Source organism: Homo sapiens, chromosome 1 (assembly GCF_000001405.40).
Source record: "Homo sapiens chromosome 1, GRCh38.p14 Primary Assembly".
Lineage (NCBI taxonomy): Eukaryota > Metazoa > Chordata > Mammalia > Primates > Hominidae > Homo > Homo sapiens.
In genome coordinates this window covers 13,801,635-13,825,475 of record NC_000001.11, presented here as the reverse complement: position 1 = coordinate 13,825,475, position 23,841 = coordinate 13,801,635, and the positions used below count along the sequence as shown (strand labels likewise).

The window sequence follows — 23,841 nt, the reverse complement described above, 5'->3', positions numbered from 1 at the left end:
TGGGCGACAGAGCGAGACTCCTTCTCAAAAAAAAAAAAAAAAATTGGTTGTGGAGGTGGCTGTATGACACTGAATATACTAAAAGCCACTGATGTGTGTGCTTAAGTGGGTAAGTGGTATGATCTGTGGATTAGCTCTTAATAAATCTGTTTAAAGACAAGAATATATTTGCAATCAAAAGAGGTCTTTCTGGTCTTAGTGATGTGGTTCAACTCACTGGCTGGCAGGTGGCAGAGTAGCCTTACTTACCAGATGGGACGTTTCCAGAGTGAGCTTCCTTGAGCCCTTGGTTCCTCCCGTTGCTGGGAGGGAGCATTCAGGGACCCCCACCGCCCTCCCACCAAAACCACCAACACAGAAGACAGAGCACAGAAACCAGAATGATCACTCCCAGGCTTGTTCCTCACAATCGCTCTTCACACTTTTATTGTTAATTCTCTTCACATGGCAGATACAGAGCTGTCGTCTTGAAGACCACCACTGACCAGGAAATGCCACTTTTACAAAATCATCCCCCCTTTTCATGATTGGAACAGTTTTCCTGACCGTCTGGGAGCGTTGAAGGGTGACCAGCACATTTGCACATGCAAAAAAGGAGTGACCCCAAGGCCTCAACCACACTTCCCAGAGCTCACCATGGGCTGCAGGTGACTTGCCAGGTTTGGGGTTCGTGAGCTTTCCTTGCTGCTGCGGTGGGGAGGCCCTCAAGAACTGAGAGGCCGGGGTATGCTTCATGAGTGTTAACATTTACGGGACAAAAGCGCATCATTAGGATAAGGAACAGCCACAGCACTTCATGCTTGTGAGGGTTAGCTGTAGGAGCGGGTGAAAGGATTCCAGTTTATGAAAATTTAAAGCAAACAACGGTTTTTAGCTGGGTGGGAAACAGGAAAACTGTGATGTCGGCCAATGACCACCATTTTTCTGCCCATGTGAGGGTCCGCATGAGACCCTTCTCCTAGATCCTTATCAGATCCCATACTGCAGCCGATTGACTGACTCATTAAATAACACAAGTTATAAAACTTTAAAAATGGAGCATTTACAGTCAGGGACATAAATACGTGCTTTTAAAAGTGTCTACATACATATTTACAGAGTTGCAAGATCAACCGTAGTAGCCCTGAAAAAAAAAATCCCTTTATCGTGTGACAAACCGTGCTCATCAGAGCTCCCTCCTTCCGCTCTGGGTTTGATAGCTCACTCTTGAAATTGGAGCTGAGAAAACAGCGCCCAAGTGGTCTCAGACATCCTTGCCTGGGGTCTGCCCCAAAGGCACAAAACCCAAGAACCTCACTGAACTGGGTCCAAACGCCAAGCTCAGCTCACCCGTTTCTCCGAGACATGGACTGACCGTCCTCCAGAGAGCAGGAGTCAGCCCCGTCCGCCCCTGGCAGGATGGCCTCCGAAATCTCTTCTTCTTCCCCCTGTGCTTTTTAATCTTCCCATTTTTTTTTCATTTCCCAATTTGTTTTTTTCCTATTGCAGCTAATTTGAGAAGCTCAGACACTAAAGATGTTCATGGTCCCACCAAGTGTGGCAATGAAGGGCGCAGGAGATCCCTCCCCTCCATACACCGTCCCCATTCCCTGCCCTTCCCAAGGGAGGAGATAGATCTGTAAGTGGGGACAAAGTCTTTCTCCCAGGTGCACCTGATCTGAGGTTCTCTGCAAAGACTCAAGAGCAATGGACTGATGAGAATTTCAAGTCTGGAAATGCCTCAAGAGCCAGAAACTCAGACACCTTAGGCAAGGAAGGGGGTTTTCCATGTGCTGGGGCCGAGGGGCATGTTCAGGCTCGGCTCCAACGTGTCAATATGCTGTTGATTCCCAGAGATGTTGCCGGGAGAGGGAAGGTGGGGAGAGAGGGGTGGTACTGAAGGGGAACTCGGCCTCCTCCTGAAGGCCTTCCTAAGGCTGACCCCTGGGTCAAACCAAAGTCCCCATAATGGCAAAAGACAACTCAAGAAGCAAAAAGCAGGGTCAAGGAGCTCTTGAAAAATTGCATAGTAGGAGAGGCCCCACCCCAACAGGAAGGCTGGGCTGCAGAACACGGTCCCAAGAGCTGCATCCAAGTATCATCCCAAAGGACAGCGTGGAGTCGGCCCCCTTCCTGCCGCCCCGGGGATCGGGACCCTCGTTTGAAGACCACTCACGCGCCCGCACGAGAACACGTGAACACACACGCACGCACACATGCACGCGCGCACATGCACTCCCTTTCTCTCGCAGCCTCACACAACTGGGATAGGTCGGTACTCCCTGCAGGGCAGACTGCCAGTCCCTTTGGCTTCACTGATTCCAGGTCACTTCAGGTGCTGAGGAGAAAAAGAAAATAAAAATAATAACAGTAAGCACACATTCAGTGCCGACCATGGTGGTCCATGCGTTATTGCACTTAATTTTGTAACTAAACTGTTTATTGAAACATACCATACATAGAGCAAAAAGCACAGCTTGATGAATGTTCACAGTGAATACACCTGCAGAGCTGGCACCCAGATGAAGAATCAGAATGTGACAGCCGCCCATCAGCCCCTGACCCGTGACCCCTTTAAGGATACATGAACCCTCCCGCCCTCGGGAAGAACCACTGTCCTCACCTCTAACAGCATAGACTGATTTCACCCATTTTTTAAGTTAAATAAATAGGGTCAATCAGTAATCTCCTCCTGCGTCTGGCTTTTTCCACCGAGTGTTTGTGAGAGCCACCCATTCTGTATGTGTGGTTGATGTTTTCAACCTTGTTGTTATGTAGTGTGCTATTATAGAAAGACACCACCTCGGCCAGGCGCGGTGGCTCACGACTGTAATCCCAGCACTTTGGGAGGCCGAGGCGAGCAGATCACCAGGTCAGGAGATTGAGACCATCCTGGCTACGGTGAAACCCTGTCTCTACTAAAAATACAAAAAATTAGCCAGGCATGGTGGCAGGTGCCTGTAGTCCCAGCTACTCAGGAGGCTAAGGCAGGAGAATGGCGTGAACCTGGGAGGCGGAGCTTGCAGTGATCCCAGATCGCGCCACTGCACTCCAGCCTGGGAGACAGAGCGAGACTCTGTCTCAAAAAAAAAAAAAGAAAGAAAAAGAAATACACCACCTCTATCCATCTATTCCTCTGCTGATCCACAACTGGGAACTTCCAGTTTGGTGCCATGTGAGTCATGCTGCTAGAACATTCTCATATGTGTCTAGAGGACACGTATGGTGCAAATACGTATGCATTTGTGCTGAGCGGAAATGCTGGGTCGTAGGATGTCCATAGATAACACATCAGCATTCTCATAGGTATTTCCTGGTGCACGTGGGTACATATCTGCTGAGTGTGTCCCCTGCAGTGGGACTGCTGGGTCCTGAGGTACCCACATGTTCAGCATCAGTCAACACTGCCAAACAGTTTTCCAAAGTGATTGTACTCCTGCTTAATTTCCTTTGGATGTTCACAACAACCCTCATGGCAGGCAACACAGATCCCCATTCTATATGAAAGAAATGGAGGCTCAGAGAGGAGAAATAACTTTTACAAGCCTGCAGATGATGAGCAGCAGAGGTGAGACTTGAACCCAGGTCAGGCTCACTCACTCCAGCATCTGTGTGCTCTTCCAGTCGGGAGGGGATGGCTGTTCCCGCATGCTTCCTCCGCAGAAACCACATTCACAGTGCTTAGTCCAGAGCTGAGCACATGGGTGAATCCTTAATAATGTTCACTGCAGGCTGGGCGCGGTGGCTCACGCCTGTAATCACAGCACTTTGGGAGGCTGAGGTGGGCAGATCACTTGAGGTCAGGAGTTCGAGACCAGCCTGGCCAACATGATGAAACCCAGTCTCTACTAAAAATACAAAAATACAAAAATACATTAGTGATGGTGGGTGCCTGTAATCCCAGCTACTCAGGAGGCTAAGGAGGAGAATCCCTTGAACCTGGGAGACAGAGGTTGCAGCGACCTGAGATTGCGCCACTGCACTCCAGCCTGGGCGACAGAGTGAAACCCTGTCTCAAAATAAATAAATAAATAAATAAATAAATAAATAAATAAATAAATAAATGTTCACTGCATTGGGTTGAATTGGGCTGGGCCAAGTTCAGGGATACAGTTCTCTTGCCCAGTGGACCTGGTCACCATTACTATTACTAAAAATAACTACTGCTATTATTATTACTACCACTAATAATGTAATATTTCAATAATAATAATAATAATACCAGTTGTTTATGGAAGGCTTATTGCATACCAGGCACTTTGCTAAGGGTTTTTCATTCACTAACCTATGCAATCTTCTCAACAAACCCATGAGAGAGGTATTATTATTATTAACCCATTTCGCAGATGCGTGAATTGAAACACAGAGGCGTGAAGTAGCCACTGAAGGGATAGCTCCAGACACTGTGCACCTAACCACTACGCATGTTCATTTCAATTCCCTGAAATGTCTGATGGGGCTGGAAAGGGCTGTTTGCGGGGGAGTGGGATGTCTTCAAGAGAGGAGGCATCCCTTCCCAGAGGACGCCTGCTTATGCAGCAGACTGGCCTGTGTGCCCGTGCCCATGAGCCAGGGCAGGGGGAAGAAAAGGAAGCAGAGGCGGGGCCGGCTATGGAGTGGCTGTATTCCCTTGGCCTGGCGTGGCCAGCAAGTGTGGGTCTCCCCTGGGTCACGTGGGATCCATTAAAGGAGCCATCTTGCCAGTCCCCCACCGAGAGGGCAGCCCTCTGGGGAGGCCACAGCAGCAGGAGCTGGGGGCTGGACCTGAGGTGGAGGGGAGCTCTCATACAAGGGAGATGGGCCGGGATGGGCGACCTCTACACCCCCCACTCCCAGGACCCCAGGAGGGAGCGCATGTCAGAAATCCTGCCCACAGAGGGCCCTGAGGCCGCTGGTCTTAGCCAAAGGAGCAGCAACAGCTGAGAGAAGGATCACAATGGTGGCCAAACAGGTGAGAGGCTGTCCCTTCCCTGGGCCTCCCGCTGAACCCCTGGGGTAGGAAAGACACGGGGTGAAGACAGGATGTGCAAAGGAAGCCTCCCTATAGACTAGGCAGCACAGCACTTTTCTGCACTTAAAAGTGAACAGAAACCTCTGGGCTTTGTGTGAGTCACAGTAAAGAGGGTGCCACAGAGGCTGGTGAAAGGCAGGGCTTGCCAGAAACCAAGCACCTCTGTGTTCATTCTCGCTGCATTCAAACTGTCCGGGAGACGGGTGACGAAGCCTTGAATCCGGAATGGGCAAGAGCAGGCTAAGCAGCCAAAGCCATGGGTCCTTCGAGAAGGCCATCCTTTTTTCTGAACAAAACCCACATGCACACACAGTTTTGCAAGGAGGCACGGCCCAATTAGAAGTCGAAGATCCGTCCCGGGAATCAGAAGACCAGAGTGTTGATGCCAGTTCTGCCACACGCCCCTCCGTGTCAGTTTCCGTCTCTGTAAAATGAGGGCTTTGACCTGCACACACCTTCCTGAACTAAAATACTTTGCTGTGGCATTTTCATAAATCTGGAGCTATGTTAAACAGTGCTATGGACTGAACTGTGTCTCCCTAAAACCCTTATGCTGAAGCCCTAACCCCTCCCTGTGATGGTATTTGGAGGTGGGGCCTTTGGGAGGTGATTAGGCTTAGATGAGATCACGAAGCAGGGCTCACGATGAGATGAGTGGACTTCTAAGAAGAGACACCAGAGAGCTTGCTCTCCCCCAGGCCCCCGCCACGTGAGGACACAGCAATGAGGTGGCCGTCTGCAAGCCAGGAAGTGGGCCCTCACCAGAACCTGGCTATGGTGGCACCCTGATCTGGTACTTGCAGCCTCAAGAACCATCAGGAAATAAATTTCTGTTCAATATTTAAGCCACACAGTCAGTGGTATTTTGTGATAGCAGCCTGAGCTAACTAAGGCAAACAGTATAAAGAGATTTTTTTAAAAAATTATTTTAAAAATAATATAAGTAGCACATGCTTGGTGTAAGTACCAATTTAAAAAATGGAAAAAAAGCTACAGAAGATTTTAAGGAGCAAGTTACACGAAACTGCTGAGTTTGGAGCCTTCGTTGTTGGTGAGCAAACAGAGATCACAAGATGCAGAGGCAAATGACGTTAGGCCTCTCTTCATTTGATCGCTTCGCTTGGGAAACTGTATGTTTTTAAAGAAGGAAAAAGAAGGCCATCACCTAGGACAGTGCTTGGTGCTGGGGCAGAGCCTAAATTCATAAGGCTTGGCAAATGCTACATACATTTCATCTTCGTCATGGCCAAGCCTGCAGTGGCCAACAGAAATGGCCCAGTCTGTTTAGGAAGCCAGCCCAGCTGCACCTGGCTCTCCCTCCGGCTGCAGAGAACACCTGCTCTGGGGTGGAAGCAAGTCCCGGGTGCCCATCAACACAGAAGGTTCACGTAGCAGCCTTGGCCGCAAGGAGGATGCTGGACACAAATGGTTCCCAGAGTCGGAATTGTTCATCCTGGCATGGCCTCTCACTTTCCAGAAGACCCTAGCCACGTCCTATGTCTCTTCTCTTGGGGCCTCAATTTTTCCATCTGTAAAATGGGAGGTACCTCTCCCAGGGCCTCCCAGCTCTGTACTATCTTACAGTCCATTTCAACATTGTTCCATGAGACTCCAGCTCAGGGTCAAGTCTCCAGGTTCCCCTCTCAGGGAGCAGCCGGCCCCAGAGAGACAGGTTCAATTCCAGCAGCAGACCACAGACTCTCTGGGCAAGAGTGGATTTTATTTTTGCTCCCCTCCCCAAACCCCAGAGGAATAAAGCCAAGCCAGAAACTCCAACTGCTTAAGAAAGAGAGAAGTAAACAGCCGGGAGCGGTGGCTCACGCCTGTAATCCCAGCACTTTGGGAGGCAGAGGCAGGCAGATCATGAGGTCAGGAGATCAAGACCATCCTGGCCAACATGGTGAAACCCCGTCTCTACTAAAATACAAAAAAAAAAAAAATTAGCCAGGAGTAGTGGCGGGTGCCTGTAGTCCCAGCTACTCAGGAGGCTGAGGCAGGGGAATCGCTTGAACCTGGGAGGTGGAGGATGCAGTGAGTCAAGATCGCGCCACTGCACTCCAGCCTGGCGACAGAGCGAGACTCTGTCTCAAAAAAAAAAAAAAAAAAGGAAAGAGAGAAGTGAGGTCTTGGGGTTGGAGGGCAGGCAGAAGGAAGAAAGGGTCTTCTCTTCCTGGCATAATACAAAAGACCTCAGAGTTTCAGAATTCAGCCCATTCTTGCCTTGAACTACACTCTCATTCCAAACGACTCTGGTTGGTGTTTTAACCACTGCCTCGTGTTAAGCACACATTCCCAAACCTACGCGTGTCCCAGAACCAGGGGGCCATCTGCTAATGCAGGTTCCCTGGTCACACCCACCAGGATGGGCCTGTGCCATCAATACCCACCCACCAATACAAGCAGGGCTGTGGGGGGTGGTGGCCAGTCCCCTCCCTCCCATTAACCCCGTATTCAACATCTGTCCTGTGCCAACCACTTCCATGCTGGGCATCTCATAGGGGTGATGTGACTTCCCACAGAGATGTAAACTCAGGATTTGCTCACTGCAAGCTCCACCTCCTGCATTCACGCCATTCTCCTGTCTCAGCCTCCTGAGTAGTTGCGACTACAGGCGCCCACCACCATGCCCGGCTAATTTTTTTGTATTTTTAGTAGAGACAGGGCTTCAGTGTGTTAGCCAGGATGGTCTCGATCTCCTGATCTCGTGATCCACCTGCCTCGGCCTCCCAAAGTGCTGGGATTACAGGTGTGAGCGACCGCGCCCGGCTGAACTCGGGATTTTTTAATGGGGTTTGGCCCTATTCGTACTATAGTCCAGTAAATGGGATTTGAGCCTTTTTGGCCATTTTGTACATTTGGAACTGGACTCTGAGGTCTGTATTTATAAAAGCATCCTAGATCTTCTGATGTATGAGGTCCTCTGATCACTTTGAGATGCTGGCCTTGGGGACACAATGAATGCAGTTGTGTGGTGTCACCAACAGGGAGGGCCAAGCCTGCTCGTGGGTCACCAGCAGAATCCAGGTACTCCAAAAATGAAAAGTCTGGTTTCCATGTTTTTATCCAACAGAAATCTTAGAGTAATTCCAGGTTTTTACCATCAGAAAACCTAGGAAGAGGCTGTTTTAGTCCAAAATAAATCTGAGTTTTATATTTTATGGATTAGGACAGATTACATATCCCTTGTCTGAAATGCTTGAGACCCGAAATTTTTTGATTTTGGATTTTTTTTGGATTTTGGAATATTTGCACTACATACTTGCTGGGTCAGCATCCCTAATCCAAAAATCTGAAACCTGAAACGCTCCAATGAGCATTTCCTTCGAGTGTATTTCCTTTGAATGTCCTCACTCAGGTTCAGATTTTGGGGCATTTCAGATTTTGGATTTTTGGATTAGGGTTACTCCACCTGTATTATTTTGACTTTCAAAAACATTGTGAGAATAGGAACTCGGTCATCTTTTCTGGGCTTAATGCCTCTGAGGCAATTAAGAACTGAGTATAATTACTATTTTTATCATTATTACTCCAATAATGACTTACCTAGTGCTTACTATGTGACAGACACTCTTCTAGGTGCTTCGCACATTTGACACTCGTAATTGTCACAATCACCCTATAAAGTAGGTCCTATTGTAGTGCCCACTGTACACATGTGGAAACTGAGGCTCAGAAAGACTAAGTAACTTGCTTGAAGTTCGTAGCCAGCAAGTGGCAGAGCTGGGATGTGAAACAAGTGGTCCGGAGTCTGCACTCAGCTAAGTGCCCTCCTGGAGGGAGGCCCTGCACCGTGCCTGGTACACACAAGCAATCACACCCACTGCTTTCTCTCCTTCCCTCCCCACCCAAGACCCAAGCCCACACCCCCTTGACCCACCCAAACAGTGCCAGAAGCTGTTCCATCCTGCCTCGTACCTGTCAGGGAGCAGCCAGAGTGTCTACTCTTTGAAGAATGGTCCCTGGAACTGGGCTGCAGCTGGAGCTTTGACCTTCCTATACTGCCTGGTGATGTACGGGGCCGCTGGTGGAGAGCATCGGGACGCCAAGCGGAGGCTGTAGCTGTGCAGGAAGAGGAACAACACACATTGTCACAGGAGCCCAGCCCGGTGCCCTAGACATTGCTGGGGGGGCTTCCTTAGTGCTGGTCACCACTTCCCAGGCCAGGATAGGATTGCACTTCCTGGACACCTTGAGGCCAGGTGCCTGGCATCAGCTAATAGGACATGAGCTTTAACCACCAATGTGCACTTCTCCATGTCCCATCCACCAATTCTCTCCCCTCGGAGGCGATCGCAGAAGCACGGGCAAGAGGAGTGTCCATTGGGCTGGTTCTGAGACACCATGATGGGCAGTGCCGTCTGGTGACCCCCAGTGGACATGCAGGTGAGCCAGAATGACTCCGATTGCATCAGAACAGCGGCTGTGCCCTTCTCTGATTCCATTTCCCCACCTGCCTCCCTGCTCTCCCCTCCTGCCAGGCCCCAACACCCATAAGGAAAAAAGCATCTGGGGAGGTTACTATTATCAAAGTACAAACACACCTGCACATGGGCTGGGTTGTGGGGAATGGAGGCAGCTCCATTGCCCTTAACCCCACACTCCACATCTATCCTGTGCCAAGCACTTCCATGCTGAGTATCTCACAGGGGTGACGTGGCTTCCCAAAGAGGTGAATCTAGGAATTTCGGGGGCATGGTTTTGTACTATTTGTACAGAAAAGCACCCCCAACCACCGCCCCCAGTAAATGGGATTTGATTTTTTCAGAAGGGCTTTTAAAAAATTTATTTAAAAGATAGATAACTCACACCATTAGTCCTCTCCTTTCGTCACTCAGCTAACTCGTACTTCTCTTTCATAGCCCAGCTGGGATGCTACCTCCTCCAGGAAGCTTTCCTTCTTTAACTCCTGGGTGGGGTGTTCCTCCAACAGGCCCCTTAGGTGTCCCCATCCCACCTGAATTAAAAGCCCAGAATAAGGTGTCTGCCTTTCTCATGAGCTCTGAGATCCCAAGGTCAGGATCTTTGTCCTGTTCATTGTTGCATCCCCAGCTTGGCACAATAAAAATAAACATCCGGCCAGGTGCGGTGGCTCATGCCTGTAATCCCAGCACTTTGGGAGGCTGAGGCGGGTGGATCACCTGAGGTCAGGAGTTCAAGACCAGCCTGGCGAACATGGTGAAACCCTGTCTCTACTAAAAATACAAAAAAAAAATTGTCCAGGCGTGGTGGTGGATGCCTGTAATCACAGCTACTCAGGAGGCTGAGGCAGGAGAATCGCTTGAACCCGGGAGGCAGAGGTTGCAGTGAGCCGAGATTGTTCCATTGTACACCAGCCTGGGCAACAGAGCAAGACTCCATCTCAAATAAATAAATAAACAAACAAACAAACATCCACTGAGTAAGAGTGATACATACAGGCTCACTGCATGTCCAGAACTGTGCTAGGTATTTTCCATACACAAACAATCTAACTCTTCACAAAACCTACCCAGGTGGATACTGTTATTATCCCTAATTTACAGATGAGGAAACTGAGGCACAAAGAGCCTGTCACCTGTCTACCTCTCTAGATGGAAGAATGGAAAGTGAGGGAGGCCTCTGGACAAGGCGGCCCAGGTCAGAGGAGGTGGGAGGCCAGGCAGGTAGGAAAGCAGGAGGGACAAACACGCCCGGAACCCTACCTGCTCCAGGTGTTTGCAGAGCCAGCTCTGCCTGCGGGAACAGGAGGCGGGAATGGAGTCCAGCTCAAAGCTGGCACATGGTAGAGCTCACATGAGTGGTTCTCAATCAGGGTACACACTTGGTAATGTGTGGAGACATCGTTGGCTTTCATACCTGAGGGAAGGGTGCTGCTACCGGCATCTGGAAGGTAAGGCCAGGGGTGCTGCCAAACCTCCTACAGTGCCCAGGACAGGCCCCCGCAACAAAGGTTTAACCAGCCCCAAATGCTGACAGTGTCAATGTTGGCAAGGGAGCCCTCAATCAATATTAAAATAAGCAAATGCATCAACAGACAAGCAAATGTAGAAGGTGCTGGAGAAAAGCCTTAGACAAGACTAAGAGACCTGCTGTTGTCACGAGTGAGCCTCCCCCAAGGGCCTGGCTCTCTGTCAAGGTCAGGGCTGCCCCTGTTTGAATTCCTCCCCTGCGCTGTGCAGCCAAGGCCCACGGTCAGCTCAGTCTACTCGCCTGTGCAAGAGTTAAGGAGGAAACGGAGGACCCATGCTTCATACAACTGTGCTCCTGACGGGCCACCAAGGCAGCTAGTGGCCACCCCCGCCAACCCCATTCTAGCTGGCTGGTGCCCCAGGAGACCCAACCTGGGAGGAGACAGCCAGCTGGGAGGCTGCTGGAGACATGGACTCCTGTGTCCTGTTGGGCAATAAGAAACAGAGCTGGCAAAGAGCAGGTCCCCTCCCTACGATGTCCCCCTTCCCAGGGAAATGTCTACAGTGGTGTAGCAAGACCAGCAGAAGCTTTGGAGACAGACAAGCCCTGCATCATCAGTATCCAGCTTCTCCCTTTCTCTGCTGTTAAGTATCCAAAAGCCAGATCAATCACACAAAAATAACACCCCGACCTCCCAGGCCTCTCTAGCCAGCCAGTGTGTCTCCGCTCCCTTTAGCATCTCTTCCGCCTGGGCTCCTGCGGATGCAGCAACCATAGCGTCTCCACCAGGGGGCGCGCCTCCTCCCCGGCTCAGGGCGTCCATCTGGGTGGAACGAGTAGGTCGGGGGCAAAACCCCTGAAGGCAGAGGCCCCTCTGCTACCCCTCATCCACTGCCTGGCCTAATGGAGGACCACGGCAGCCAACATGAACATGGCCTCCATGACTCCCAAGGACTTTCTCAGTTTTCTCTCTGAACCCTCCCAGCAGCCCAGGAGGTAGGAAGAACAAGTGCTTTTATACCCCTTTCACGGATGAGAAAACTGAGGCTCAGACGGATATGGAGACTTTCCCAGGCGAGCAGAGCCCTGGGCTTTCAGCTCCTTAGGCCACCATTTTGAAGAAACACCAGGTCACTAATTGGGTGTTTCCTGTTAGGACGGGGACAGGATGTCGTGGGGGACTGTCCTTCCTGATCAAGAAGTGCTTCACTGTCAAAGAACTCATGAGAGCACAGTGCCCCCAACCCCGAGATGTTAAATACCGAGGACCAAGGCTCCGGAATTGGGTGCTTCTCCAGGGCACAGTAGCAGTTAGCGCAGAGCCTCATGATTCTTGGTTCCCACCCACTAGCTGTGTGACCTCAGTGAGTCATGGACCTGTCTGAGTTCCAGGTTGATCTTCTGCAAATCGGGAAGACCAGTTTGGGGTTACAGTAATGATTAACTTTGGAGAAAGGTCTCCGTGCAGGGCATCCTGGCACTCCAGTAGGTATCAGCACAGTGTCGTGACTGCAGCAGTTGCGGTTGGTGGACTCATATGGAGAAGTCATCACCCCAGGAGGATGCAGTATGGCCGCTGGAGACCTGGGGGTGGCCTCTAATAATCCTCATTCTCATTGACTGTATGGCCCAGGGTAAGCCACTCCCTGTCGCTCGGCCTCGGAGCCTCGGTTTCCCCCTCTGTAAAATGGAGACAGTCCCTGCCAGCCTGCCAACAGAGAGCAGGGCTGGAAGCATTTTGGTGACCAGGATTGAGAGCACTTTGCTTTCTGGGAAGAATCCAGCACATGTGAGATGCTCCTAGTGGGTGTGACCCCAGGAAGCATCGGAGCAGGAGGTGAGCCAGGGTCCTGACTGGTCCTTAAAGACTGAATGTCAGGTAAGACTTCTGTGTCAACACTTCGGTCAGACTTTTGGCTCAAACTCCTGGGCAGGGCTCCAGACCCGCACACCCACTGCCTGCCGGGCCCCTCCACTTGGATGTCTAATGAGCATCTCACTTTAACACGGCAAAGTGGGACATGCTAGGGTCCCACCTTGCTCCCGCCCCTACCAGGCTCCAGCCACACTGGACTCTTGTCACTCTTCTCAGGAAATGGCACTGCCAAACGTGTTGTTGTTACAACTAAAGCCCAATAGCCCTTTTCTTCCTCTTCTATTCATTTTGCTGCTTCGGATTGGCCATAGACCTAGAAACCACACACATTTGAAGCAGGCACACCATCGAGCAGTGTGCTGTGATCATGGGGCCTGTGAGACCCCCCGCTGTGCTTACCCTAAAGCTGATCCATCTCCGGGTCCCTTAATTCTGCCTCCAGGTCCACACACCTCTCTCCACTCCCATTGCCACCACCCAGCACAACCTGTGGCATCAACACCTTCCACGGGGACTGTGGCAATTGCCACTGCACTGTCCCCACTTCGACGCTGCACCCTCCCCCCCACCACCAATCCATTCTCCACTAAGCAACAAGAGAGGCCTTTATAAGGACCACCGGACATGACCACGACACTGGACCACATCACTGCCCAGTGCAAAAGTGGCCCAAGCCTTCCCACACAGAGTGCTGTGCACCTGCTTGCGACCCTCCCAGTCCCCTCACGCACTCTGTGTTCACCCTGTGCACTTGTCTCTCAGCCAGGCCAAGCTCTTCTTACCTGGTTGCTCCCTGCCTGGCTTTCCCCTGCCCTGCCCTCCTCTGCCCACAGCTCCCTCCCACCTTGTGGGTCTCAGCTTAAGTGTCTCCTGAAAGAGGCCTTCTCTGACCTCCCCACCTTAGTGGCAACCCCAGCCCTGTTCCCATAGCCTTTGGAGTTCCCTTCTGTCTTCCTTCTGTCTTTCTGTGACTTTCTGGGCCTTTTGCTCACAGCTTTTCCCACAGCAATCACCTTGCCTGTCGAGTTGCTTACTCCTTCAACACTAGAAGAGGATGTCTTTGAGGGCAGGGACTGAGTCTTGCTGACAGTGGAATCCCCTGTGTCCCCAGGCACAGGACCTGGTACAGGAAATATTGGGTGGGTGGGTGGAGGCAGCCATGAGGGATGCCCCTGGTTTGCAGGTGGAGGAAACATGGTCTCAGGACCACACACCCTCCCCAGGCCCGGCCCCTGTCCAGGGATGGCAGAGCCCAGAGTCTCTGGCACAAGGACAGCCTGTGCGCTCCCAGCACTGCCTCCAGTTACAAGGGGATGCCCCATCAGCCAGCAGGGGGCGAGCACAGTGTCACAGGATGCTTCCTGTGGGTTATGGTGATGGCATGGTCACTGTGCAAGTAAGCGTTAACGAGCCATTGCCTCACTTATCCAGAGGCCCCTTAACCTTCACAATCCAGAGAACAGCCTAGAACGTTGTAGAAAGTCTGAGCCATCCACAACCAGTGCCCACTGATCTGTAAACTCTTTTTTTTTCTTTTGAGACAGAGTCTCACTCTGTCGCTCAGGCTGGAGTGCAGTCGTGCTTTCTTGGCTCACTGCAATCTCCACCTCCCAGGTTCAAGCGATTCTCCCGCCTCAGCCTCCTGAGTACCTGGGACTACAGGCACCTGCCACCATGCCCGGCTAATTTTTGTATTTTTAGTAGAGACGGGGTTTCACCATGTTGGCCAGGCTGGTCTCAACTCCTCACCTCAGGTGATCCACCCACCTCGGCCTCCCAAAGTGCTGGGATTATAAGCATGAGCCACCACGCCTGGCCCAGATCTGTAAACTCTGACAGAAGCTCACTGCATGCAGGCACTAAAATTCATGCCTGGGCCTGCAGCCTGTCCCTAAGGAGCACAAAGTCACACAGAACTCAAGCTTTCAGCCAGGTGCGGTGGCTCACGCCTGTAATCCCAGTGCTTTGGGAGGCCGAGGCGGGCGGATCACGAGGTCAAGAGATCGAGACCATCCTTGCTAACACAGTGAAACCCCGTCTCTACTAAAAATACAAAAAATTAGCCGGGTGTGGTGGCGGGCGCCTGTAGTCCCAGCTACTTGGGAGGCTGAGGCAGGAGAATGGTGTGAACCCCAGAGGCAGAGCTTTCAGTGAGCCGAGATCGTGCCACTGCACTCCAGCCTGGGTGACAGAGTGAGACTCCATCTCAAAACAAAAAAAAAAGAAAAGAAAAAAGAACTCAAGCTTTCACGTTCAGTGCACGCTGTTCTTACTGTACACACAATTCAAACGAATACGGCCGATGGCTTACAAGTCCACAGCCAATCAGAAGCAGCAAAATGAATAGAAGAGGAAGAAAAGAGCTGTTAGATTGAGGCAAATACAGAGTCTGTAGCAGACAGCAGACACTTCCCTGGAAGCGGGAAAGGAGGGCAAGTTCAAGGGTAGGGAAATACTATGTGCCAGGCCATGTATGTGCCATGATGTCCCGGGTTCCATGCATGCTTAATTTCGTCCTTGGGGAACCTGAGAGGTCGACAAACTTGAGAGAGGTTAACTGTTATAGATGGAACCTTTGTGTCCCCTGCACCCCATTCATATGCTGAAGCCCTAACCCCCAATGTGATTGTATTTAGAGGTGGGACCTTCAGGAAGTGACTGGGTTTAATGAGGTCATGAGGATGGGACATTCATGACGGGATTAGTGCTTGTGCCTTGTAAGAAGATGCGTGTGCTCGAAAAAGGTCATGTGAGGACACAGACAGAAGGTGGCAGTCTGTGAACCAGGAAGAGAGCCTCGACCAGAACCAAACCATGCTGGTACCCTAATCTTGAACTTCCAGTCTCCAGAACTGTGAAAAAAAAATTTCTGTCATTTAAGCCGCCTAGTCCATGGTATTCTGTTATGGCAGCCCAAATTTTGTTAAGACAACTTGCCCAGAGTCATGCTTGGTGAGATTAGGATCTGAACACGGGGTCTGGACCACAGCCTGTCATCTCTGCAGGTGACTCCCTCCCTAGGCGATGCATCCGTGGCTTTGGCGTCCACGGCCAGCCTCACACAGATGACTCACCGGCACCCACGCCCAGCCCACATCTGGCCTTTGAACTCCATTCACGCACTGACGTGACATCTCTTGGACATCTAGAAGGCCCCTTAAATCAGTTCCTGAACTTAAATTATGACCCCACCTCACGCCTGCCACTCCACCCTGCTCCTGTTCTTGGTGAACAGCACTGCATTTGTGCCCTGAAAGCCAGAGACCTGAGACTCAACACGGTCCCTCCGTCACTCTCTCCTGCTACACGTCACCTGCCACTGGCTCCATCGAGTCCGCCTTCCTTCCTCTTCTACCACTGTCGGGGACCACCTCTCGCCTGGAGTCCTGCAAGGCGCCTTCCTCACTGGACTTCTCACTTCCACACTGGCTCCCCTCCCATCTGTTCCACAGAAGTGTGACGGTCTTCCCAAAAGGCAAAACGGACCACGACACGCCCCTGCTGCAACCTGTCAAAACCCCATGGCTCCCAGGACGCAGTCCAAGTTCCTTGATACATCAAGTCCAGCCTGCACTGCCCTCCCAGCCCATCTCTCCCCTTCTGTTCTTGTTTACTCCAGCTAATCTGGGTAGACCCCATTTCCCAGTGGCCTGTAGCCTCGGCTCCTCACTAGATTCACCCAGAGAGGCCTGGGCTGCATGCCAGGACATGACATCAGGATCTCTGGGGCAGGATTGGGCAATGGTATTTTTAAGCTCTTCAGTGATTCCAACATGCAGCTGGGTTGAGAACCACTGCTCTGGAGATGCTTCTGTGGTCGCCCTCTTGAGGCAACATGGCCCTGGTCAGGTTCCCACACCGGCCCCCACACGGGCAGTTTCTCATGCATCTGCGACTGTCTGATAAAGGCAGGTCTCCCCAGGGGGCCGTAAGGTCTCTGATGGCAGAGCGTGGTTGAGTTTTGTTCATCATTGTATTCTTAGTACCTAACTGTGCGTGAGTGAATAATAGACCCTCAACATGTAAGGAAGGAAGAAATGAGCAATTCAAGACTCTGTGATATTCCCACTGCACAGCTGTTCTCAGACACCAAGAAATCTGTTCAGTGCAGGGGAGGGAAAATGGACTTACTATGCTCCCCAAGATGCTCCTCCATAAAATCCCGGCAAAATGAATGAGATACGTAGTCCTCAATCCTAGACATCAAGAAAGGGTTGAACAAGTTCAGCATCAACTGTTTTTTTTTTTTTTTTTTTTGAGACAGAGTCTCACTCTGTCGCCCAGGCTGGAGTGCAGTGGTGCGATCTCCACTCACTGCAAGCTCCACCTCCCGTGTTCACGCCATTCTCCTGCCTCAGCCCGCCACCACGCCCGGCTAATTTTTTGTATTTTTAGTAGAGATGGGGTTTCACCATGTTAGCCAGGATGGTCTCGATCTCCTGACCTCGTGATCCGCCCGCCTCGGCCTCCCAAAGTGTGGGGATTACAGGCGTGAGCCACCGCGCCCGGCCCAGCATCAACTGTTTTTAGAAAGCAGGGGAGTGTAGCATTACCTTGGTAAGATTTTCATACACAGTGGTTGAACATTTTAAACATAGTAGCAGGGTTGGGAGGAACCTGCTGTGTGCCCCACACAGGCTTTGCCCAGAAGTGTCTGGCCTCTGGCAAAGTGTGCTCTACTGCCTACTCTAGGAGGGAAATTTCTGGACATTTTACTTAGAACAAAAACTAATGGACTTTGAAAGCACAGGGGGATGTCATACACCATCCAATCTGTATGGACGGGGAAGGATTGGGCAGAGGGCAGACCTCAAACACCTGGTCCACTCCCGGCTCATAGGAAGGCTCAGAAATGGTGCCTCAGAGCATCGTCTCCTGGGGATCCTAATTTCTTACTTGTCAGAATTCCTTGCTAGTCTGAAGACAATGCAAGGGCATTATCTATACAATAGAACGTCTAATAGAACATGTCTAGAAATAGAACATCTGCTCTGTTCCTGGCCTCAAGGATGCATTCATTCTTTCATTCAGTCATTCAGATTTCCAGTGGCCCATTCTTGCCTCAGGGACTCGGCACAGGCTGTTCCTGGAACACTCTTCCCCCAGGTGGTCTTGTGGCTCACTCCCAGGCCCCCTTTCAAGTTTCTGTTCAAATGTCTCATTCCCAGTGAGCCTCGCTTAACCACTTTATTTGAAATCACAAATCCCCCTGATACTCCCCATCTCGACTCCCTTTTACTTTCTGAGTTGTGCTTATCCCCATCAACAGAGCTGCGTTTACTGGTTATTGTTTACTGTCTGTCTAGCAGGCTCCATGAGGGGGCGCATTGGAGGCTGGTTTGTCACGGAGGCACCTCCAGCACCCCAGCCGCTGGCTGGCATACAGTAGCAGTCATCTACTATTTGTCAGGTGAACGGTGTGTCTATTCTGTGCCAGGTGCTTTGCCAACAGGAGTTTTAGTGAATAAAACAAGTCAAGTTCTCTACATATAGCATAGTTTTACATGTCACTTAGTGTAGCCTAGAGAGGAAAGATACTCATTTCAGAAGGAGTTTGATGCCCGTACGAGGCCAAGACTCAGGCCTCCTGGCTCCCAAATGACCACATTCTTATTCAGCCCCCAGTGGTTTTGGATAAGGGAGAAATCCAGACACACTGAAATATACAAGAGAAAATGAAACTGAAGAAACAGGAGTGAAGGTCAGAGTGGAGGAGAAGACAGGGAAAGGTGACATGGGAAACGGCAGTGTGTGGGCTACGACCTGGGGTGGGGGGATCAATCGGTCCGGATACTACGCCTTGTGCGTTCCAGGAAGTGGGGACAGGAAGTGCAAAGGCCCTGAGGTGAGACCCACCAGGAATGTCTGAGGTGATGTGGGCAGAGGGGAGGGTCTCATAGGCCTTCAAGTGAGGTGTCAGTCAGTTGTCCTTCTGGGCAGAGGAATATCATGACCCAAAGTGGCTGCTGTGCTGGGCACAGACCGTGGGTTGACAGGGAAGGAACTGGGGACACCAGCAAGGAGGTGACTGCCACCATCCAGGGAGATGATGGTGGCCTGGACCTCAGGTCAGCTGAGGAGGCTGAGCTGAGAGAAGCTGTGGATTCCGGGTGAGTTTGGGGATCTGCTGATGAGCTGGATGTGGGGATGGAGGAAGAGGTTGGAGTCTAGCTGGTAGCTGGACTCCAAGCAGGACCGTTTCCATTCATCCCACATAGGGAGGACAGCAGGAGAGGGAGGCTTCATGGAGAGACAGTTTCATTTTGGAAAGATTAAATTTGAATCTAGACACCCAAGGGAGATGTCAGGTGGGCGGCTGAATGGAGATTCTGATGAGGGTGGAAACCCGGGATTGGTCAGCATCCAGGTGGTATTTAACGCATGTGACTGGATGAGATCACCAAGGGGGAGCGGAGACGGAGCGAGGGGACAGAGCCCAGGGATGGAGGCGGGATGCGGGGGACAGAGCCCAGGGATGGAGGCGGGATGCGGGGGAGCAGCTGGTAATGTGCAGAGACTGGGAGAGGGCGGTGTCCAGGTGGAGAGTATTTCAAGGAAGAGAAGGATTAACAGCGTCCACTGCCGCAGATGGGCCAAGGGAGATGGGACTGGAAACCAACCACTGCATTGAGCATCCTGGGGGCTGCTGATAACCTTGGTTTGATGGCTCCTCAAGAAGAGCCAAAACCCTGAAAGTGAGTTCAAGAGAGAAGGGGAGAAGAGACACTGGAGGCAGGAACCCAGAGGACGCTTCAAGAAGGGTGGAGGGAAAGGAGTTTGGGAGGGAAGGAGCTGCCGGCTTTCAGAGGACATGGGCTCTCCAGGGCTCCAGGGTCCCCACGTGGCCACGGTGCTCTTCCAAGCTCCCTGCCAGACCGCCATGGGCATCCTGGGCTGGGATCTCTGCCTGCCCTGGTCCCTCCTTGCACCTTTTTCTCACAGTCTTCAGGAGGGATCTCCTGGGACAGCCATACAGAAAGCTGGTTAGGCCACATCGCTGGCCGCAGAAGTCTTACACAACTCTCTAAATTCTCAGAGTGCAATTCATTTGAAGTCAGTGTCTGATATTCTGCACTTTTGCTGAAGGTAGGGGAAAGGCAGAGGGTGGGGAGATGGTGCAAAGGTAAGACAAGCCTGTGATGATGCTGATATTCCCTGGGGGCTGGGTGAGGGCCCACAGGTGGGAGCTGTGGGAGCCATCGGCCCTCAGCCACCTCCAGGAACAGTCGACATCCACTGCAGGACCCACCTTCCCCAAGTGGGAAGGCCCACGTGCTTCAGGAAGCCCCTGCCCATTCAAATGAAGCCCCCAGCCTGGGGGAAGGGCTGAGAAGACAGAGAAGAAAGAAGCAGGGCAGGAACCCAAAGGAGGATGGGGTGGGGATTCCAGAGCCCAGAGCTGGAATCCTAGCTCCATTACGGACTTGCTGTGTAGCCGCTGGAAAATGCCTCTACCTCGCTGAGCCATAGAAGTCTTGCCTGTAAAATGAGGATGTCAGGCAAGGGGGAAAAAAACATCATCGCATCATCCACTGAGCACTTTCTATACACCAGGAGCTACTTTGGGTAGTTTTTGGGAGCTCCTCAAATTCCCAGCAGTCCTGTAAGGCTGGGCCTGTGATGGTCCTGGTTTTACAGAGGAGGGTTCTGAGGCTCAGAGAAATAAAGAAGCTGGACACTCAAGTTCCCTCGGCCAAGTAGAGAAGCAGCCAAGATTTGAATCCAGGACCATTTGACACCAAAGCCCATGCCCCACTCCCTGACACAGTCCCCATAGTAGTGAGGATTGAAGAGTTGTTTCCAATATCCCAAAGCCAGGTGGGGGTGAGCCTTTGCCCATAGAGCAGCTGCATTGACCACTCAAGACTCTGGCAGTCTGTTTTGGGCTGGACCCACCTTTGCTCAGAGGGCACTGGAACAGAGAATCTCAAACTCGGGTGTTCACTGCAATCCCCTGGGGATACTAAACCGATCCTGATGCCTGCTTTCTATCCCAACAAGTTCTGATTTCGTTGGTTTCAGGTACAGCCCAGGCATTGGGAATTTTAAAAGGTGTCTTTGCAGGCCACTGGTCTAGATCCTTGTACTCAAAATGTGGTCCCCAGACCAGCGGCATCATTTCCCCCCCCGGAGCTTGTTGGTAATGCAGACTCTCAGCTCCCACCCACTCCAAGTCAGAATTTGCAGTTTAAGAAGATCCCTGGGAGAGGCATCTGCATGCAGACGCCGCAAGAGCATGGGGCTGGGGGACACCTTTAGCGGCGTCTCAAGTGTGGGCAGCATGCTAGGCTGCAGTGGCCAGCAGGGGCCCGTTCTGAAGCCTGGAGAGGAGCTGCTGCTTGATGAAGTTCTGTAGACAGTCTCCAAATGAGGGGGCCGAAGGGGAGAGAATGAACGTAGGCCTTGGGGGGCAGGGGTAAAGGTTTGACACCACCAGCCCAAGGAGTCGCTGCGGTGCCTTCAGGTGAGACAGAGCCCTTGAGTACAGCCGGTGGGGACAGTGGGGACAACACAGTTGACCATGAGGAATTAGTACACACTGGCCCATGCGCTGTCTTCATGTCATCCTCCCTTTAGTCCCAGCAGATGGGCTGTTATACCCTTTTTATGGCAGAGGGGACAGCAACACAGAGAGGTTAAGTAACTCGTGTACTTAAGAGGTGTGAATAGAAGGACAAAGGGAGGGAAGATTCACACCCAGATCTGATTTCAGGGCTGAAGTCGGCCTCAGCAGACACATTTTTCTTCCATCTCATCAGCCCTGAGGGAGGCCATGGGCCCACTGCTGAGCCCCCAATGTGGCCTCCACGCTCCCAAAAGATCAATCACGCCCCTGCTTTGTGGAGCTTCTAAGCCAGGTTCTGAGGTCCTCAGAGGCCATGAATTCCCCAAACCTGTTTGGGTTGAACTCTAAATACCCAGCATGTGAGAAGCTCGTAACACATGACCCAGTTGATAGGGAGGCTGGCCCGGCCTGGCCTGCAGTGACCTCGGCCCGGAGAACCTGCCCGCGGGGAAAGCCCCCGGCTGTGGCTGCCTCTTTTGCTGCCAAGACCCGAGAAGTGCAGGGGACCCCAGAGGCCACAGGGATCAGCCCTTCCCTTACAGACGAGGAAACCGAGGAGAGCGAGCAAGGCACTCGCTCACAGTCATACTCCAGGTTGTTCTTGGGAGCAGTGAGGAGACAGGACTAGGCTCACTGCTTATTTGGGGACATTGATGATGGGAAGAAGGGTAGTTGAAGCCCCCGAGGACTCGCTGAGGGCACTCAGATCTCTGTAACTGGCTCTACCCACCTGGCTCCCCCACTGGACTGGGAGCACCAGGAGAGCACGGTTGGAGTCTATTCACTTCTCACCCATCGAACCTGCCACGGGGCCTAGCAAAGGCTGGTGCTCAGAGAACGTTTCCTGAACAAATGGATGGCAAAGCCAGGCTCCTGGTGCGGTTCAACCCTGAAATGTGCCTGTCCATGCTGCTCAAGAACCAAATCCTCCCAGCGTGGCTTCCTATACGGTTTCTCTCATTGCCAAGGTCCCGCCCAAACCAGGGGACAAGGTCCCCATTTTTACGACAGTTCTGTGAACCTAACCCTACAGCCCTCAGGCCTCCCCAGCCCACCTTCCCCACTCCATTCAGCACAGGGGTTCAAGTCTGGAGAATGTCACCTCGGCTGGAAACACCGTCACTGCCCGTGACACGACCAGCCCGGGTGAGAGAAGCCCAGCAGGGTGGAGGAGCGGTTCCTCCAGCTTCACAGCTTCCTCCCTCCTCTGCCTTCACACCTCCCATCACACGCTCCCCTGCAGCCACCTGGTTCTAGGCTGCCCCAAATCCTGTCCCTTCTTTCCTCTCCTGTGGAGCTGAAACATATTGCTTTCTTCAAAAGGCAACTTCTAAGAGTAGGAGGGAAGCCAAAAAGAAAACACGAACACAAAGTGTGTGAAGACTGATGAACATATAAAAAGCAGATTCCCAACTTGGGAAGCAAGAGATGATGGTCCCTTATGAGATCCAGCAGAAGAGCCCTTTTTAGATGGTAAGATTCTGTAAGGACACTAAAGCTTCATTATTGCCACTGTTCCATCTTTTAAAGATGATCTAGGTCAAAGAAGTCAAAGGGATTACATAAACCCCAAGGACCAAGAAAAGAAGAGCTCACCCCGTGTGTGGTTTGGAGTTGCTGGGACTGAGAGTCTCAGAAGCCTCATGTGGCATCTGCCCTGGACCCAGAATTTCTAGAACATGATGCCTGATGCCCACACTGGACGACCCGGAACCGGTCCAGGGATGCTAACAATGAGAGGCAGCTGCTCCCTGTGGCGCCCTCTGCTCCTGCCTCGATGCTCAAGAAGCCTGTGGGAGCTTGGGGTTCTTTGCTACCCAAGAGGTCAAAACCAGCTTGTCTTGGGAGGCCTGGGTGTGCCTGGCTGACAGGGCGTCCCAGATGCAGGGCTGGCACTGTCATGGGAAAGGCACGCTCACTTGGTGCCTGAACGGGTGTTGTTCAACACGGGGATGACGCTGCCCAAAGGCCAAGGGCACCATGGCCTGTGGAGCTGGAGGTCTCATCCTCAGAATGTGCCCAGGGTCCGGGGTTGAATAGTAAAGTCTGCTCTTGTGCCTTCTACCTTTCTGCTCGTGATCCCCAAAGTCCTCAAACAGGCTGTAAGGTGGCCAGGACGGGACAGCTCAATCTACCTTACACACGAGGAGCCTACGGAGGCCTGCAGGTGTCAGATGACTCTGATCCTGGCTGTCTGGCCCCACCCTGGGCTGCTCAGACCTTCCCAGGATCCTGCACTCCATTTAGTTTGAGAACTGCTCAAACAGACACCCAGCCCAGCCAGGCACTATTTGGGGAGACCACAGAATGACGGCCAGGTGGCGCATGTGGAATGAAAACTCTCCCAGTGTTTCTTCCATGTTACCAGCATTTCCCGAAACCAGGTTCAGTGGAACTGGTTCCCGCAGACGCTGTATTTGTCCTCATAATCATTTGCATAATTGCAGCTAACATTTCCTGCTTACTGTGTTCCAAGCACTGTGCTAAGTGTTTGTTATGGAATAATGAATTTAATCTTCC

At 51.9% G+C, this 23,841-nt stretch overlaps 1 protein-coding gene across 9 annotated transcripts in view, besides 5 other annotated features; it reads right to left on the bottom strand.

Annotated features, from left to right (window-relative positions):
- Positions 1 to 396: 396 nt before the first annotated feature.
- Positions 397 to 23,841, bottom strand: part of PRDM2 (PR/SET domain 2) — a 124,892-nt gene continuing 101,447 nt past the window's right edge. For 5 of the 9 annotated variants that reach the window (XM_047429994.1, XM_047429996.1, XM_047429997.1 and 2 more), the window contains one exon: positions 8,906 to 9,049. In XM_047429994.1, coding sequence (XP_047285950.1) covers positions 8,929 to 9,049 — 121 coding nt within the window. In that variant the 3' untranslated portion in view covers positions 8,906 to 8,928. Of the gene's footprint in view, positions 2,318 to 8,905; positions 9,050 to 23,841 lie in introns of those variants that run through there. The other 4 variants (NM_001393986.1, NM_001135610.2, NM_012231.5 and 1 more) reach the window with 1 other exon arrangement.
- Positions 11,551 to 11,600: an enhancer, noted in NCBI's record as "active region_222". NCBI's record gives its function as "activates an Ori minimal core promoter by ATAC-STARR-seq in GM12878 lymphoblastoid cells {active_cell/tissue: GM12878}" and the evidence as "EXISTENCE:reporter gene assay evidence [ECO:0000049][PMID:35858748]".
- Positions 14,048 to 14,097: a silencer, noted in NCBI's record as "silent region_291". NCBI's record gives its function as "represses an Ori minimal core promoter by ATAC-STARR-seq in GM12878 lymphoblastoid cells {active_cell/tissue: GM12878}" and the evidence as "EXISTENCE:reporter gene assay evidence [ECO:0000049][PMID:35858748]".
- Positions 20,632 to 21,404: an enhancer, noted in NCBI's record as "H3K4me1 hESC enhancer chr1:14130567-14131339 (GRCh37/hg19 assembly coordinates)". NCBI's record gives its function as "activates a minimal SCP1, AML or CMV promoter by ChIP-STARR-seq in naive H9 embryonic stem cells {active_cell/tissue: H9 hESC(naive)}" and the evidence as "EXISTENCE:reporter gene assay evidence [ECO:0000049][PMID:30033119]".
- Positions 21,405 to 22,178: an enhancer, noted in NCBI's record as "H3K4me1 hESC enhancer chr1:14129793-14130566 (GRCh37/hg19 assembly coordinates)". NCBI's record gives its function as "activates a minimal SCP1, AML or CMV promoter by ChIP-STARR-seq in naive H9 embryonic stem cells {active_cell/tissue: H9 hESC(naive)}" and the evidence as "EXISTENCE:reporter gene assay evidence [ECO:0000049][PMID:30033119]".
- Positions 22,952 to 23,725: an enhancer, noted in NCBI's record as "H3K4me1 hESC enhancer chr1:14128246-14129019 (GRCh37/hg19 assembly coordinates)". NCBI's record gives its function as "activates a minimal SCP1, AML or CMV promoter by ChIP-STARR-seq in primed H9 embryonic stem cells {active_cell/tissue: H9 hESC(primed)}" and the evidence as "EXISTENCE:reporter gene assay evidence [ECO:0000049][PMID:30033119]".